This window comes from Homo sapiens, chromosome 22, assembly GCF_000001405.40.
Source record: "Homo sapiens chromosome 22, GRCh38.p14 Primary Assembly".
In the NCBI taxonomy this organism is placed as follows: domain Eukaryota; kingdom Metazoa; phylum Chordata; class Mammalia; order Primates; family Hominidae; genus Homo; species Homo sapiens.
The window spans coordinates 46487376-46502110 of NC_000022.11; the positions used below are offsets into that span (position 1 = coordinate 46487376).

At 49.6% G+C, this 14735-nt stretch overlaps 1 protein-coding gene across 4 annotated transcripts in view, besides 2 other annotated features; it reads right to left on the bottom strand.

Annotated features, from left to right (window-relative positions):
* CELSR1 (cadherin EGF LAG seven-pass G-type receptor 1) overlaps positions 1 to 14735 on the bottom strand; it is a 176447-nt gene that overhangs the window by 126202 nt on the left and 35510 nt on the right. The window lies entirely within an intron of this gene.
* Positions 792 to 901: an enhancer, noted in NCBI's record as "active region_19239". NCBI's record gives its function as "activates an Ori minimal core promoter by ATAC-STARR-seq in GM12878 lymphoblastoid cells {active_cell/tissue: GM12878}" and the evidence as "EXISTENCE:reporter gene assay evidence [ECO:0000049][PMID:35858748]".
* Positions 12969 to 13943: an enhancer, noted in NCBI's record as "NANOG-H3K27ac-H3K4me1 hESC enhancer chr22:46896241-46897215 (GRCh37/hg19 assembly coordinates)". NCBI's record gives its function as "activates a minimal SCP1, AML or CMV promoter by ChIP-STARR-seq in naive and primed H9 embryonic stem cells {active_cell/tissue: H9 hESC(naive and primed)}" and the evidence as "EXISTENCE:reporter gene assay evidence [ECO:0000049][PMID:30033119]".

The window sequence follows — 14735 nt, forward strand, 5'->3', positions numbered from 1 at the left end:
TTGCTGTCACTCATTAATTCAACAAACATTTGCGGGCCCTGTGTGTACGAGGCTGAGATCTAGGGATGCCAAGAGGGAAAACCACAGTCCTGCCCTCAAGGTGTCCTTGGCCTGGTGGAAAAGACAAATGGGGCCAATTAGCATGGTGAGCCCCACGGGGGAGGGGAGTCCACGGTGCAGTGCAGGTGGGGGGTGAGGGGGAGGGGAGTCCAGGGTGCAGGTGGGGGGTGCGGGGGAGGGGAGTCCAGGGTGCAGGTGGGGGGTGCGGGGGAGGGGAGTCCAGGGTGCGGGGGAGGGGAGTCCAGGGTACAGATTGGAGGTATGGGGGAGGGGAGTCCAGGGTGCAGGTGGGGGGTGAGGGGGAGGGGAGTCCAGGGTGCAGGTGGGAGGTATTGGGGAGGGGAGTCCAGGATACTGACGGAAGTAGAGGGAAGGGTATCCAAAGTGCTGAAGGGGTTGGGAAGAAGGGAGTCCAGGGTGCTACTGGGGGTTGCGGGGGAGGGGTGTCCAGCTGATGGGGGTATATGGGAGGGCTGTCCAGCTGATGAGGGTGTGGGGGAGGGGTGTTCAGCTAATGGGGGTATATGGGAGGGGTGTCCAGCTGATGAGGGTGTAGGGGAGGGGTGTCCAGCTAATGGGGGTGTGGGGAGGGATGTCCAGGGTGCTGACAGGATCAGCTGACAGGGGCGTGAGGGAGGGGTGTCAAGTACCAGTGGAGGCACGGGGAGGGGTCCTGCCCTGCACCTCAGTTTCAGGGGAGGGCTCTGCAGGCTGACAGCAGCTGGGTGACAGCAGGAAGCAGCTGTGGTCAGCAGCCACTCAGGGCTGGCATCCATCCTATTGTCTCACTGAAACTCATGACAGTGGGAGGTGAAGGTGACCCCCAGATAGTCCCCAGAGCCAGTGCTACATGGGAAGCCCTGCCCTCCTGGGGACAGGGGGATGGTCTTGGGGGATGAGAGTCCCACTAAGGAGCTGAGCCCTTCCTGCTCCTAAGCCCGCAGCTTCCCTGCTCGCCTACAGCCGGCGAGTGCAGCACAGGAGGCCACCGTAGTGCCATAGAGCGTGCACCTAGGCGTGCGTGCCAGTGAGCTCAGTGGGACGGTTCGGCAGGAACACGGCTTGAACCCACACCAAGGCTGGACTCGGCACAGGCCAGAGGGAAGCCCCACAGGCCTAGCTGAGGGACACAAAAAGAACAAACGCACCCCCCGCGCCACAGTGGAAAGTCCCCAGAAGCAGCAGTTTCTACGGCACAGCAGTGACCACTCCCGTGCCACAGCCCTGCCCTTTTTTTTTTTTGAGACGGAGTCTTGCTCTGTCACCCAGGCTGGAGTTCAGTGGCGTGATCTCGGCTCACTGCAAGCTCCACCTCCCAGGTTCATGCCATTCTCCTGCCTCAGCCTCCCGAGTAGCTGGGACTACAGGCGCCCGCCACCAGGCCCAGCTAATTTTTTGTATTTTTAGTAGAGACGGGGTTTCACCGTGTTAGCCAGGATGGTCTCGATCTCCTGACCTCATGATCCGCCTGCCTCGGCTTCCCAAAGTGTTGGGATTACAGGCGGAAGCCACCACGCCCAGCCCAGCCCTGCCCTTTTGAGCATGCAGCAGTTGGGGTCACCGTGGCAGTAAGGGACATGTCAGCTCAGACCCCCAGACACACCCACACCCCATGGCAGGGCAGGGCCACCTTCCTGCTGGTCACCCAGACTAACCCAAAGAATAACTGCAATTCAGCTCTTCCAAATGCACGATTATTTCCCGTTTGGAACCCGGCTTGGGGATGGCGAAGTGCCCTTCCTCTGCTTGTAATGATAAGCCAACAAACTGTTCTTGTCCCCAATTCCTCGTCATCACAATCAAAACTACCAGCTGGTCATTGTCCTGGGGCACCTTCCCCCTGGCTCAGTGGGGCAGGGAGATGCCATGCTCTCTGACGAGGGCACTTTTGACTATTAACCCACCCGGCCTTCCCACCCTCCTGTCCTGGCTTGAGAAGAAATTGCAATCCGTCACCACCGTGAAGCACTTGCTGAAGCTGGGGAGAAGAAGGCCCCAAGCTTGGGGGCCCCAAACCTCTCCTGGCGCCCCTCCTAACTACGGGACATCCACTGCTTGGATTCTGAGGGCCCCTGGTGGCCCCAGACTGCCCCTAACTAAGAGGAGAGACATGGCCCACACTTGGACAGAGCTGGGTTTCTCTCATACCAGCTCCTGGGGGCAGCTCAGACTCTGCCAGGAAAACGCCCATCTTTGGCCGTGCACGGTGGCTCATACCTGTAATCCCAGCACTTTGGGAGGCCGAGACAGGTGGATCACCTGAGGTCAGGAGTTTGAGACCAGCCTGGCCAACATGGTGAAACCCCATCTCTAGCGGGGCGTGGTGGTGCACATCTGTAATCCCAGCTACTCGGGAGGCTGAGGCATGAGAATTGCTTGAACCCGGGAGACAGAGGTTGCAGTGAGCCAAAATTGCGCCACTGCACTCCAGCCTGGTGACAGATCAAGACTCCTTCTCAAAAAAAAAAAAGCCCATCCTTCCTGCACTCTGTGGCCTCCAGGTTCCAAGGACAATAAACTCCCAGATCCAGATGCGCTGCCCAGCCTGGTTAGTGGGAAAGCGTCCTCCTGGCCATCTCAGCATCCGCCCCTGCAGTGGGAACACCTAACGTGGCCACCCCACAGGGCTGCACAGAGACCCAGTGAGCCGCTTTCTGAGAACCAACGTTCCCAAGTGCAAAGTGTACACATGTCGACATGGCACTTCTACCTGGAGTGCATGGGTCCTGCTCTCCTCCAGCCATAAGACACACTCAGACACACAGGGTCCTGCCCTCTAATTTCCATCTCATGAGACAGGAGCCAAAAGAGGGATTCCCCAGGGTCACCTGGAGAGGTTTTATTTTTATTTTGTTTTATTTTTATTTTTGAGACAGAGTCTCGCTCTGCCACCCAGGCTGGAGTACAGCGGCGCAATCTTGGCTCACTCCAACCTCCGCCTCCCGAGTTCAACCAATTCTTCTCCCTCAGCCTCCTGAGTAGCTGGGATCACAGGCACCCACCATCTCGTCTGGCTAATTTTTGTATTTTTAGTAGAGACGGGGTTTCACCATGTTGGTCAGGCTGGTCTCGAACTCCTGACCGCAGGCGAGCCGCCCCCCTCCGCCTCCCAAAATGTTGAGATCAGCCAACCGAAACCCACTTTTCAAGCAGGACCTGGGAGGGAAATGTTCTAAGCAGAGTGAGCGTCGTGGAGCCTCCCTCAGGCATGGCTGTGAGCGCCACAGCTGCAGACTCAGGAAAGTGGTGGGTGTGCGGGGACACTTTAAAATACCAGAAAAATCTACAAAACCAACTCCTGCAGCCACCACAGGGTGCAGAGTGAGTTTCTGGTTTTGCCGCTCTTGTGAACAACCACCCACCATCGAGCACCCAGCTGGCCTGGGGCTGCTGCACGTGCCGCACCCTGATCCTCCAGGCAGTCCAAATGGCCAGGTGTCATTTTCGCTGCTCTACAGACCAGGCCTCAGAGGATCAGGAGGTCCAGTGACTTGCCCAAGGCCACCTGAGGGCTGCCTCTGCACCCACAGGCGGGGGATTTTGTTCCCCTACAAGTTCAGGACCTCGGAAGTCAGGAGACGCCTGCAAATGGAGGGCCCCCCAACATCCATGCTCGCCAGGTCTCCTGAGGCAGCTTCTCCACCCCGGGCCCTTGGACATGGCCAGGACACAGAGCAGCATCCCCCACCTCCACCTACCAGATGCCAGTAGCACCGCCCTCCATACTGTGACAACCGAAACATCTCCAGACATGGCCACGTCTCCTAGGGGGAAAAGCAGCCCCATCTGAGTGCCACTATACTAAAGAAATCTAGCCAGAAAGTCACTTTTTTTTTTTTTTTTTTTGAGACAGAGTCTAGCTCTGTCGCCCAGGCTGGAATGCAGTGGTGCAATCTCAGCTCACTGCAAGCTCTGCCTCCCAGGTTCAAGTGATTCTCCTGCCTCAGCCTCCCGAGTAGCTAGGACTGCAGGCATCCACCACCATACCTGGCTAATTTTTGTATTTTTTAGTAGAGATGGGGTTTCACCATATTGGCCAGGCTGGTCTCATACTCCTGACCTTGTGATCTGCCCACTTCGGCCTCCCAAAGTGCTGGGATTACAGGTGTGAGCCACCACGCCCAGCCGTGAGAAAGTAACTTTTTAAAAGTTTTTCTTGTGAACTAGCAGAAAGGAAACATAGTCTCTATTCTCTCTCTCTCTTTTTTTTTTTTTTTTAGACAGGGTGTTATTCTGTCACCCAGGCTGGAGTACAGTGGCACAATCTCAGCTCACTGCAATGTTCACCTCCCGAATTCAAGCAATTCTCCTGCCTCAGCCTCCCAGGTAGCTGGGATTACAGGCGCACACGCCACCACGCCCGGCTAATGTTTGTATTTTTAGTAGAGACGGGGTTTCACCATGTTGGCCAGGCTGGTCTCGAACTCCTGACCTCAGGTGATCCATCTGCCTCAGCCTCCCAAAGTGCTGGGATTATAGGCATGAGCCACGATGTCGCGCCTCTCTATTCTTTTTAATATTTTCAGGTAAGTGATGTCTTTCCAGGCTTCACCCCACGTCTGTTTCACCAGCACCTCGCAAGTGCCTAGCAAAAGGCTGGGCAAGGCTGAGCTAAGACACACAAGGAAACAACTGCCACGAGAAGGCAACGGTCAGGGCGCTGCGACCTGCAATGGCAGAAGCAGGACGTTCCCTCGGGGCTGCTTCCCAGGCTCCAGCAGGTCTGCAGGCTCAGTCATTCCTCCAGGAATGAAGCCGGCCAACATGCCAGATGCTACCAGACAGAAGATCTCCACGTTCACAGGCTAGTCTCATTTCAAAACACAAGTTCCACTTCTCATTGTAAAATTCTCCTTTAAAATATGTCAGCCCTCAATGGTCTCAGTTACGTGTTTCTTATCTATGTACACTAACAACATGGGGCACACTGATACACAGTCCTGCTTTAATTCCCGGCGCAAAGTCTTTCTGGCCCAATTTCAACCAGGGACAGAAATTACCTCTTTTTTCTTTTCCATAAAAATGCACCCCTTTGTTTTAAAAACTGGTAGCTTGTGTTATTCCCACCTGGATATATATTCTTCCAGATTAGAAACAGGCTCTTGGGGCCAGGCGCAGTGGCTCACGCCTGTAAACCCAGCACTTTGGGAGGCTGAGGCAGGCAGATCACCTGAAATCAGGAGTTCAAGACTAGCCTGGCCAACATGGTGAAACCCCGTCTCTACTAAAAATAACAAAAATTAGCTGGGCGTGTAAGCAATCCCAGCTACTTGGGAGGCTGAGGCAGGAGAATCGCTCGAGGCAAGATCCACCGTGCTCGGCCGAAACCCAGGAGGACAGTAGAGGTTGCCAACAGTGAGCCAAGATAGCCAAGATCATGCCACTGCACTCCAGTTTGGGCGACAGTGACTCTCTGTCTCAGAAAAAAACCAGGTTCTTGGTAACAGGACAAAATATTAGAAGGTAGACAAAAAGAGCATGGAAAACATTTAATATTTCTCTGGGAGAGAAAAAGTATGTAAGAGAACAGACTAAACAAAGCACGTGTCTATAATCCCAGTGCTTTGGGAAACCGAGATGGGAGGATCGCTTGAGGCTGGGAATTCCAGACCAGCCTGGGAAACATAGCCAGATCCTATCTCTACAAAAAATAAAAGTAAAAAAATTAGCCAGGCATGGTGGCTCACACTTGTGGTCCCAGCTACTTGGGAGGCTGAGGCAGGAAGATCAGTTGAGCCCAGGAGTTGGAGGCTGCAATGAGCCATGATGGCACCACTGCACTCCAGCCTGGGCAGCAGAAAAAGACCCTGACTCAAAAAATAAAAACAGGCGGGGCGTGGTGGCTCATGCCTGTAATCCCAGAACTTTGGGAAGCCAAGGCGGGTGGATCACCTGAGATCAGGAGATCAAGACCATCCTGGCTAACATGGTGAAAACCCATCTCTACTAAAAATACAAAAATTAGCTGGGTGTGGTGGTGGGCACCTGTAATCCCAGCTACTTGGGAGGCTGAGGTAGGAGAATCGCTTGAACCTGGGAGGCAGAGGTTGCAGTGAGCCAAGATCATGCCATTGCACTCCAGCCTGGGTGACAGAACGAGACTCCGTCTCAAAAAAAAAAAAAAAAAGATTAAAATTTCATTAGTGATATGATTTGGCTGTGTCCCCACCCAAATCTCATCTTGAATTGTAGCTCCCACGATTCCCACGTGTTGTGGCAGGGACCCAGTGGGAGGTAACTAAATTATGGGGGCAGGTCTTTTCTGTGCTGTTCTCGTCATAGTGAACAAGGTCTCATGAGATCTGACGTTTTTATAGAGGAGTTCCCCTGCACAAGCTTTCTCTTGCCTGCCACCATGTAAGATGTGACTTTGATCCTCCTTTGCTTTCCACCATGATTGTGAGGCCTCCCCAGCCATGTGGGACTGTGAGTCAATTAAACCATTTTTCTTTATATATTACCTAGTCTCAGGTATGTCTTTATTATCAGTGTGAGAACACACTAATACCTTACTTCTCCGAGTAAGATGAGATTGTACCCAGCTAAGCAAGCTAGTAAACTGGAAAACAGGTCAAAAAAGAATATTAAGAATGAAACAGATTCAGAAAAAAAGGCAGACACACAATCTACCCTCGCGGAGGACAATTCAGCTCTATGATTTCTTTATTCCTTGTGACTTGACTGGCTACACTGTTAAATATGTTGAGCCTGTTTTCTGGGCTCTCTCTTCCATTCCGCTGGCCTATCTGGCTATCCTTGGCCACTCTTAATGACACACTCTCCTAATTACAGTGGCTCTATAACAAGCCTTGACATCCAGCCAACCAAGTCCTCCCACCTCAGCTCTTCCTCAAAGTGGCCTTGGCTATTCTCAGCCAATTTTATTTACAGATAAATTTTAGAATCAGATTGTCAATTTTTTTCAACTTCCTCTAAATTATTCTGTACCAATTTGATTGGCACTGCACTGAATCTACAGACCAGTCTGGGAAGAAATGATATCTTCATAACATTGAGTCTTCTAATCCATAAACATTGTTAAGCCCTCCATTTATTTAAGTCCTTCTTAATTTATTTTATTTTATTTTTTTGAGATGTAGTCTCATTCTGTTGCCCAGGCTGGAATGCAATGGTATGATCTAGGCTCACTGAAACCTCTGCCTCCCAGGCTCAAGCAATTCTCATGCCTCAGCCTCCAGAGTAGCCGGGATTACAGGCATGCCACCACGCCTGGCTAATTTCTGTATTTTTAGTAGAGACCGAGGTTTCACCATGTTAGCAGGCTGGTCTCGAACTACTGACCTCAAGTGATCCGCCCGCCTCGGTCTCCCAAAGTGCTGGGATTACAGTCATGAGCCACTGCACCCAGCCCTGAATTTCTCTGAGTAACATTTTATAGTGTTCTGCCCATCTTTCATTACATTTATTCTTGGTTATGTTATCTTTTTATACTATTGTAGGTTATATATTTCACTTTTCATTTATTGCCAGCACACAGAAACACATTTTTAAAAACAGTACAATCGTGCATCACTTAAAGACTGGGGAAAACATTCTGAGAAATGCGTTGTTAGATGACTTCATCGTTGGGTGAACATCACAGAGTGTCCTTAGACAAACCTAGCTAGACCCAGCTGGTACAGCCTACTACACACCTAGACTATGGTAAAACCGACTGCTCCTAGGCTTAGACCCAGCTGGTACAGCCTACTGCACACCTAGACTGTAGTATAACTGACTGCTTCTAGGCTTAGACATGGCTGGTACAGCCTGCTACACACCTAGGCTGTGGTATAACCAACTGCTTCCAAGCTACACACCTGTACAGCATGTTACTGTACTGAGTACTGTAAGCAACTGTAATACAAAGGCAAATATTTGTAAGTCTAAACATATCTAAATATAGAAAAGGCACAGTGAGAACATGGTATAACATTAAAAACAGTACACCTATATAGGGTACTTACCAGGAATGAAGGTTTCAGGACTGGAAGTTGCCCTGGGTAAGTGGGTGAGTGGTGAGTGAATGTGAAGGCCTAGGACATAACTGTGCACTCCTGCAGACTTTATCAACACTGAACACCAGGCTGCACTACATTTATACAGAAAATTTTTCTTGGCTGGGCACAGTGGCTCACGCCTGTAATCCCAGCACTTTGGGAGGCCGAGACAGGCAGATTACCTGAGGTCAGCAGTTCGAGACCAGCCTAGCTAACATGACGAAACCCTGTTTAGCCAGGCATGGTGGTGGGCGCCTATAGTCCCAGCTACTTGGAGGCTGAGTCAGGAGAATCGCTTGAACCTGGGAGGCGAAGGTTGCAGTGAGCCGAGATCGTGCCTTTGCACTCCAGCTTGGGCAACAAGAGCGAAACTCCATCTCAAAAAATATATTTTTTTTTCTTTATTTGATACTAAATTAACCTTAGTTTACCATAACTATTTTACTTTATAAAGTTTTTAATTTAAAAAATTTCTTGGCTGGGCATGGTGGCTCATGCCTGTAATCCCAGCGCTTTGGGAGGCCAAGGTGGGCGGATCACCTGAGGTCAGGAGTTCAAGACCACCCTGGCCAACATGGTGAAACCCTGTCTCTACTAAAAATATAAAAATTAGCTGGACATGGTGGTGCAAGCTTGTAATCCTAGCTACTCGGGAGGCTGAGGCAGGAGAATCACTTGAACTCGGGAGGTGGGGGTTGCAGTGAGCCAAGATGGCACCACTGCACTCTGCACTCCAGCCTGGGCAACAGAATGAGACTTTGTCTCAAAAAAAAAAAAAAAAAATTGACTCTTTTGTAACAACACTTAGCTTAAAACACACATTGTACAGCTGTTCAAAAATATTTTCTTGGGCCAAGCACAGTGGCTCACGCCTGTAATCCCAGCACTTTGGGAGGCCGAGGCAGGTGGATCACCTGAGGTCAGGAGTTCGAGTCCAGCCTGGCCAACATGGTGAAACCCTGTCTCTACTAAAAACACAAAAACTAGCCTGGTGTGGTGGCATACACCTGTACTCCCAGCTACTCAGGAGGGTGAGGCAGGAAAATCACTTGAGCCCAGGAGACGGAGGTTGCAGTGAGCCAAGATCACGCCACTGCACTCCCGCCTGGGTAACTGAGTAAAACTCTATCTCAAAAAATATATATATTTTTTCTTTCTTTATATCCTTATTCTATAAGCTTTTATCTATTAATTTTTTTTTTTTACTTTGTGTTAAAAACCAAGACATAAACACACACCTTAGCCTAGGCCTATGCAGGGTTAGGATCATCAATATCACTGTCTTCCACCTCCATATCTTGTCCCATCGGGAAGTCTTCAGAGGCAGCAGCACACAGGGAGCTGTCACCATCTATACTAATAATGCCTTCTTCTGGAAAACCTGAAGGGCCAGACTGAGGCTATTTTACAGTTAACTTTTTTTTTTTAAATGTAAGTAGAAGGAGTACACACTGAAATAATAATAATAAAGAGTATAGTACAGTAAATACATACAGTAAATGACCAGTGACATAATCATTTATTATAATGATCAAGTGTTATGAACTATACATAACCGTGTGTGCTAGAATTTTACACGACTGGTAGCACAGGTTTGCTTACACCAGCATCACCACAAACACATGAGTAATGTGTTGCACTATGACACTATCATGGCTGTGACTGCAAGGAGGCAGTAAGAATTTTTCAGCTCCATTATCATCATATGACACCACCATCCTATATGCAGCCCGTCCTTGACAGAAACATCATTATGCCTCACTTCACTATAAGTATCCAGCAATCCTGCTGAAAGCACTTATTATTTAATCATTTATTTGCATGTTTTATTTTATTTTCTTTATACGTAACTTTATCATCTGTGAATAACAGCAATGTTATCTCATCCTTTTCAATGTTTATAGCAATTCTTTTTCTTGTCTTACTGCATTGACTAAGACTTCCATTACAATGTTGTATACCTGGGACTTAATACAAAGTCTGGCAAGGAGAATCTCTCTCCCCGGGAGAATCTGTCCCAGGCCTCTGTCCCGGGTCTCTGGTAGTAGCCAGAGGAGTTCCTTGGGTTGGGGCTACATCATCCTACTCTCTGGTCTTCACACATTCTCTGTGCTCTATGTCTGTGTATTCTCCTGCTCTCTTCTTTTAGAAGGACTTGCCATTGGAGTTAGGGCCCCTAATCCAGGATGATCCCATCTCAAAAATCCTTAATTTAGTTATATCTACAAAGACTTTTTTTCCAAATAAGTCATGTTACATGTTCTGGGCATTCATATCTTCTGGGGGTGGGGGACACTGTTCAACCTACTACATGGAGTAATCCTTAAACACAATGTTATTCTCACCAGATTCCTATGGGGTTTTCTTTTCTAATTCAACAGACCTTTATAATGTATTTATTGAGCTCACACAGAAGAGAGTACCCATTAGAATAATCTAAGAAAACTATGTAAAAGAACAATGGGAGAAAATGTGCTCCACCACCTCTCAGAATATGCTAGAATGTAACTGTGATTAAGATAGTCTGGTGGGGCCAGGCACGGTGGCTCACGCTTGTAATCCCAGCACTTTGGGAGGCCAAGGTGGGTGGATCGCCTGAGGTCGGGAGTTGGAGACCAGCCTGACCAACATGGAGAAACCCCGTCTCTAATAAAAATACAAAATTAGCTGGGTGTGGTGGCGCACACCTGTAAGTCCCAGCTACTCGGGAGGCTGAGGCAGGAGAATCACTTTAACACGGGAGGTGGAGGTTGCAATGAGCCAAGATCGTGCCACTGCACTCCAGCCTGGGCAACAAGAGTGAAACTCTGTCTCAAAAAAAAAAAAAAAAAAAAAAAAAAAGCGAAACTCTGTCTCAAAAAAAAAAAAAAAAAAAAAAAGATAGTCCAGTGGGATCAGCCACGGTGGCTCACGCCTGTAATCCCAGCACTCTGGGAGGCCAAGGCGGATGGATCGCCTGAGGTCAAGAGTTCAAGACCAGCTTGGCCAACATGGTGAAACCCCACCTCTACTAAAAATACAAAAAAATTAGCCGGGCGTGGTGGCAGGGGGCCTGTAATCCCAGGTACTCAGGAGGCTGAGGCAGGAGAGTCACTTGAATCCAGGAGGCGGAGGTTGTAGTGAGCTGAGATTGTCCCACTCCACTGTACCCTGGGGACAGAGTGAGACTCTGTCTCAAAAAAAAAAAAAAGAAAAAGAAAAAACAACACTCCGGTGGTATGGGATAGAAATAAACATGGACAGGGAGGTGACAGACGCTTCCTCTCCTGTGGCTGTGGAATGAGGTTTATGATAAAAGGTGGCATTTCAGGGATGGTGGGAGAGACTCTTCAAATAAAAGATATTAAGACAACTGGGAAAACTAAGCCTCCGCCCCCTAACATTACCCCAAAATTAACTCAATAAATTAAAGAGCAACCCATGATGGGAAATAAGCCTATAAACCATTAAAGTAAAACATGGGGCCGGGCTCGGTGGCTCACACCTGTAATCCCAGCACTCTGGGAGGCCGAGGCAGGTGGACTACCTGAGGTCAGGAGTTCAAGACCAGCCTGGCCAACATGGTGAAACCCTGTCTCTACTAAAAATACAAAAATTAGCCAGGCATGGTGGCTCACGCCTGTAATCCCAGCTACTCCGGAGACTGAGGCAGGAGAATTGCTTGAGCCCGGGCGATGGCGGTTGCAGTGAGCCGAGATCGTGCCACTGCACTCCAGCCTGGGCGATAGAGTAAGACTCTGTTGCAAATCTAAAAAAAAAAAAAAAAAAAAGTTAAACATGGGAGAGTTTTACACTCCTGGGCTCAGCAATGCTAACCCCCACACAGAAACCACAGAGGAAAACTGAGACAGGACAGGAATTGGCAGACCACAAGAAATACAGACAGCCAGTCAACATCTGAAACGAAGCTTCCTGGCAAAGGAATCAGAGGAAGGTGAAAATCACAGGCTACTTAGTACCCATCAGATTGGCAAAAATCTTAGACAATGATAACATCAAGCCTGTGAGGACATAGACGAACAGGCTTAGATGCCAGTGGCGAGAATATCAATCAGCAAAGCACTTTTTTGGGACAATTTGGTAATGTGATCAAGCTTTAAACACGATAAATCCATCCAATTGTATATATCTATTTTCAGGAAGCCCTGGCACAGATATGCAAAGACTTGTCCCAAGGACGGTCACCACTGAGTCACAAGAGCAAGAAATGTAACATGACCCACACCCCCATCTGTCCCTACCACAGGAGATTTTGCAGAATTTTCTCAAACTGTATCGAGGCAGCTTCCCGCGTGCTCCTGGTCCCCCACCCTTGGGACACCATCTCCCAGCATCCTCTGCTCTCGTCCCTCAGAACCCCAAGCCATTAGGCGCTGGCCCGGGATGGCCCTCTTCTGGATCCTTCTCATCTGTCAGACATAAAACCCCTCCACCGTCTGCAAACCCCTCTCCTAAAAGCCAGAACCGTGCCTCTTCCTCTCCTCCAGAACACGCCAGGCTCCAGGAGTGACCATCACCACCCAGCGGCCGCCCCCACCACCCTGAATGTCCATTTCCACCCCATGCCTGGCTCAAGGCTCAGCGGCGACCTCTCCCGCTTATCTTCCCAAACGGGTTGTTTTCTGTGAGTCCGGACTCTCTGCTCTGATCCCACCCCAGCCCCTGATCCTCCCAGCATGATCCCACCCCAGCCCCTGGTCCTCCCAGCATGATCCCACCCCAGCCCCTGGTCCTCCCAGCATGATCCCACCCCAGCCCCTGGTCCTCCCAGCATTGCTCAGCAGGAAAGCTGGGCTCACGGTGTCTGCAGGACTCAAGGAAGGGACATAACTGCGACAAAACCCTGGCGCCCGGTTTTCAGCACCGCGCTAGGTTTTAACTGCCTGCTGGAGATGACCTTTTATATGGAGCCGCTGACAGCCCCCTCCCCCATGGCGCAGAGATCACATTTACAGCGGTGGCGGTAACCATGGAAACTGGCAGTCGGTGCAGGAGGGCGAACGGTTGATGGGCAACCATGGGGACAATGGCAAGGCTCTGGGCTTATTCAGATGACTGGGGTGTGCTGAATGGGCTCTGAGCACAAAGGCCACTGGGAGCTCTGGGAGCTTCCAAAGGGGGCGTCAATGACACCCATAACTTGTCACAGAAGAACAGAGGCCCGAGCTAGCCCACACCTGTGTTTTTTGATCTCTGGGGGAGTTTACAACAATGACTCTGCAGGCCTTTTGTCAGATGCCATTTTTCTTACTTTATTATAATTATCTGGTCTGTTTTCTGGGTGACCTGGGAGCCTTTGACTGCAGTTTCAGAATGAAGCTCACCACCGTGTCCCCACAACTGGAGCTGCCCGGGAGGCCAGCAGCAGGTCAGGCCACTACATTGCGTCTCTCAGGCTCAGAACATCCCCCATCTGCGGGCAGAGCTGTCCTTGTAAGCACGCCCATGATGGGACCCGAAAATCAGCCCATTTACATGCCAAGTGCTGAGAACCCTGTTTCTAACACCCCTCCAGAGACCCAAAGATCTGAAATGTTAAGATGTTTCCACTAAGAAAAGTTTATTTATTTATTTATTTTATTTTATTTTTTATTTTATTTTATTTCATTTTTTATTGAGACAGAGTCTTGCTCTGTCACCCAGGCTAGAGTGCAATGGCATGATCTCAGCTCACCGCAACCTTCGCCTCCCGGGTTCAAGCAATTCTCCTGCCTCAGCCTCCCAGTAACTGGGCTTACAGGCACCCGCCATCATGCCCGGCTAATTTTTTTTTTTTTTTTTTTTTTTTTGAGACAGAGTCTCGCTCTGTTGCCCTGGCTGGAGTGCAGTGGTGTGATCTCGGCTCACTGTAACTTCCACCTCCCGATTCAAGCCATTCTCCTGCCTCAACCTCCAGAGTAGCTGGGATTACAGGCATGCACCACCACGCCGGGCTAATTTTTGTATTTTTAGTAGAGACGAGGTTTCACCATGTTGGCCAGGCTGGTCTCAAATTCCTGACCTCAGGTGATCCACCCGCCTCGACCTCCCAGAGTGCTGGTATTACAGGTGTGAGCCACCGCGCCCTGCCCCACTAAGAAAAGTTTTAAACAGACATTTAAATAAGCTAATAGGAGACCTTTTCGTGAAGTGGCATCTCATAGGAACCTACGGAAACACGCAAATATCCAGCCCTGAAAGCTGAAAACAAGCTGTGAGCCAAAACACTGTATGATGTGCTTTTTTTCCTTCAGTCAATGCAACAAAGATCTGAAATGTTATTTGTTTTTAAATGCCAAACATCACTCCCTTCAACACTGACATCTCAGATGAGCAATAGCAGAATGGATCTTTCCATGAACTCCAAGAGTAATTCCCCAAAAAGAATTCCCGAAGAGTTCCCCCGCTGGCACAGTCATGGGCTTCCTTGTCTTGAAGAGAAAACAAAGAAAAATCATCTGATCTGCACCCTCCAGGGAGTAATATGTGACTCACTTCATTCTGAAGGAGCAGAGGAAGCTCATTACATTTTTATAAACTACTCAGAAAACTGCCCTGTAGAAAACAGGGCTGGGCGTGGTGGTTCAGGCCTGTAACCCCAGCACCTTGGGAGGCCAAAGTAGGAGTATCCCTTGAGCCCAGGATTTTGAGACCAGTCCAGGCAATGTAGCAAGGCTCCATCTCCAGAAAAAATAA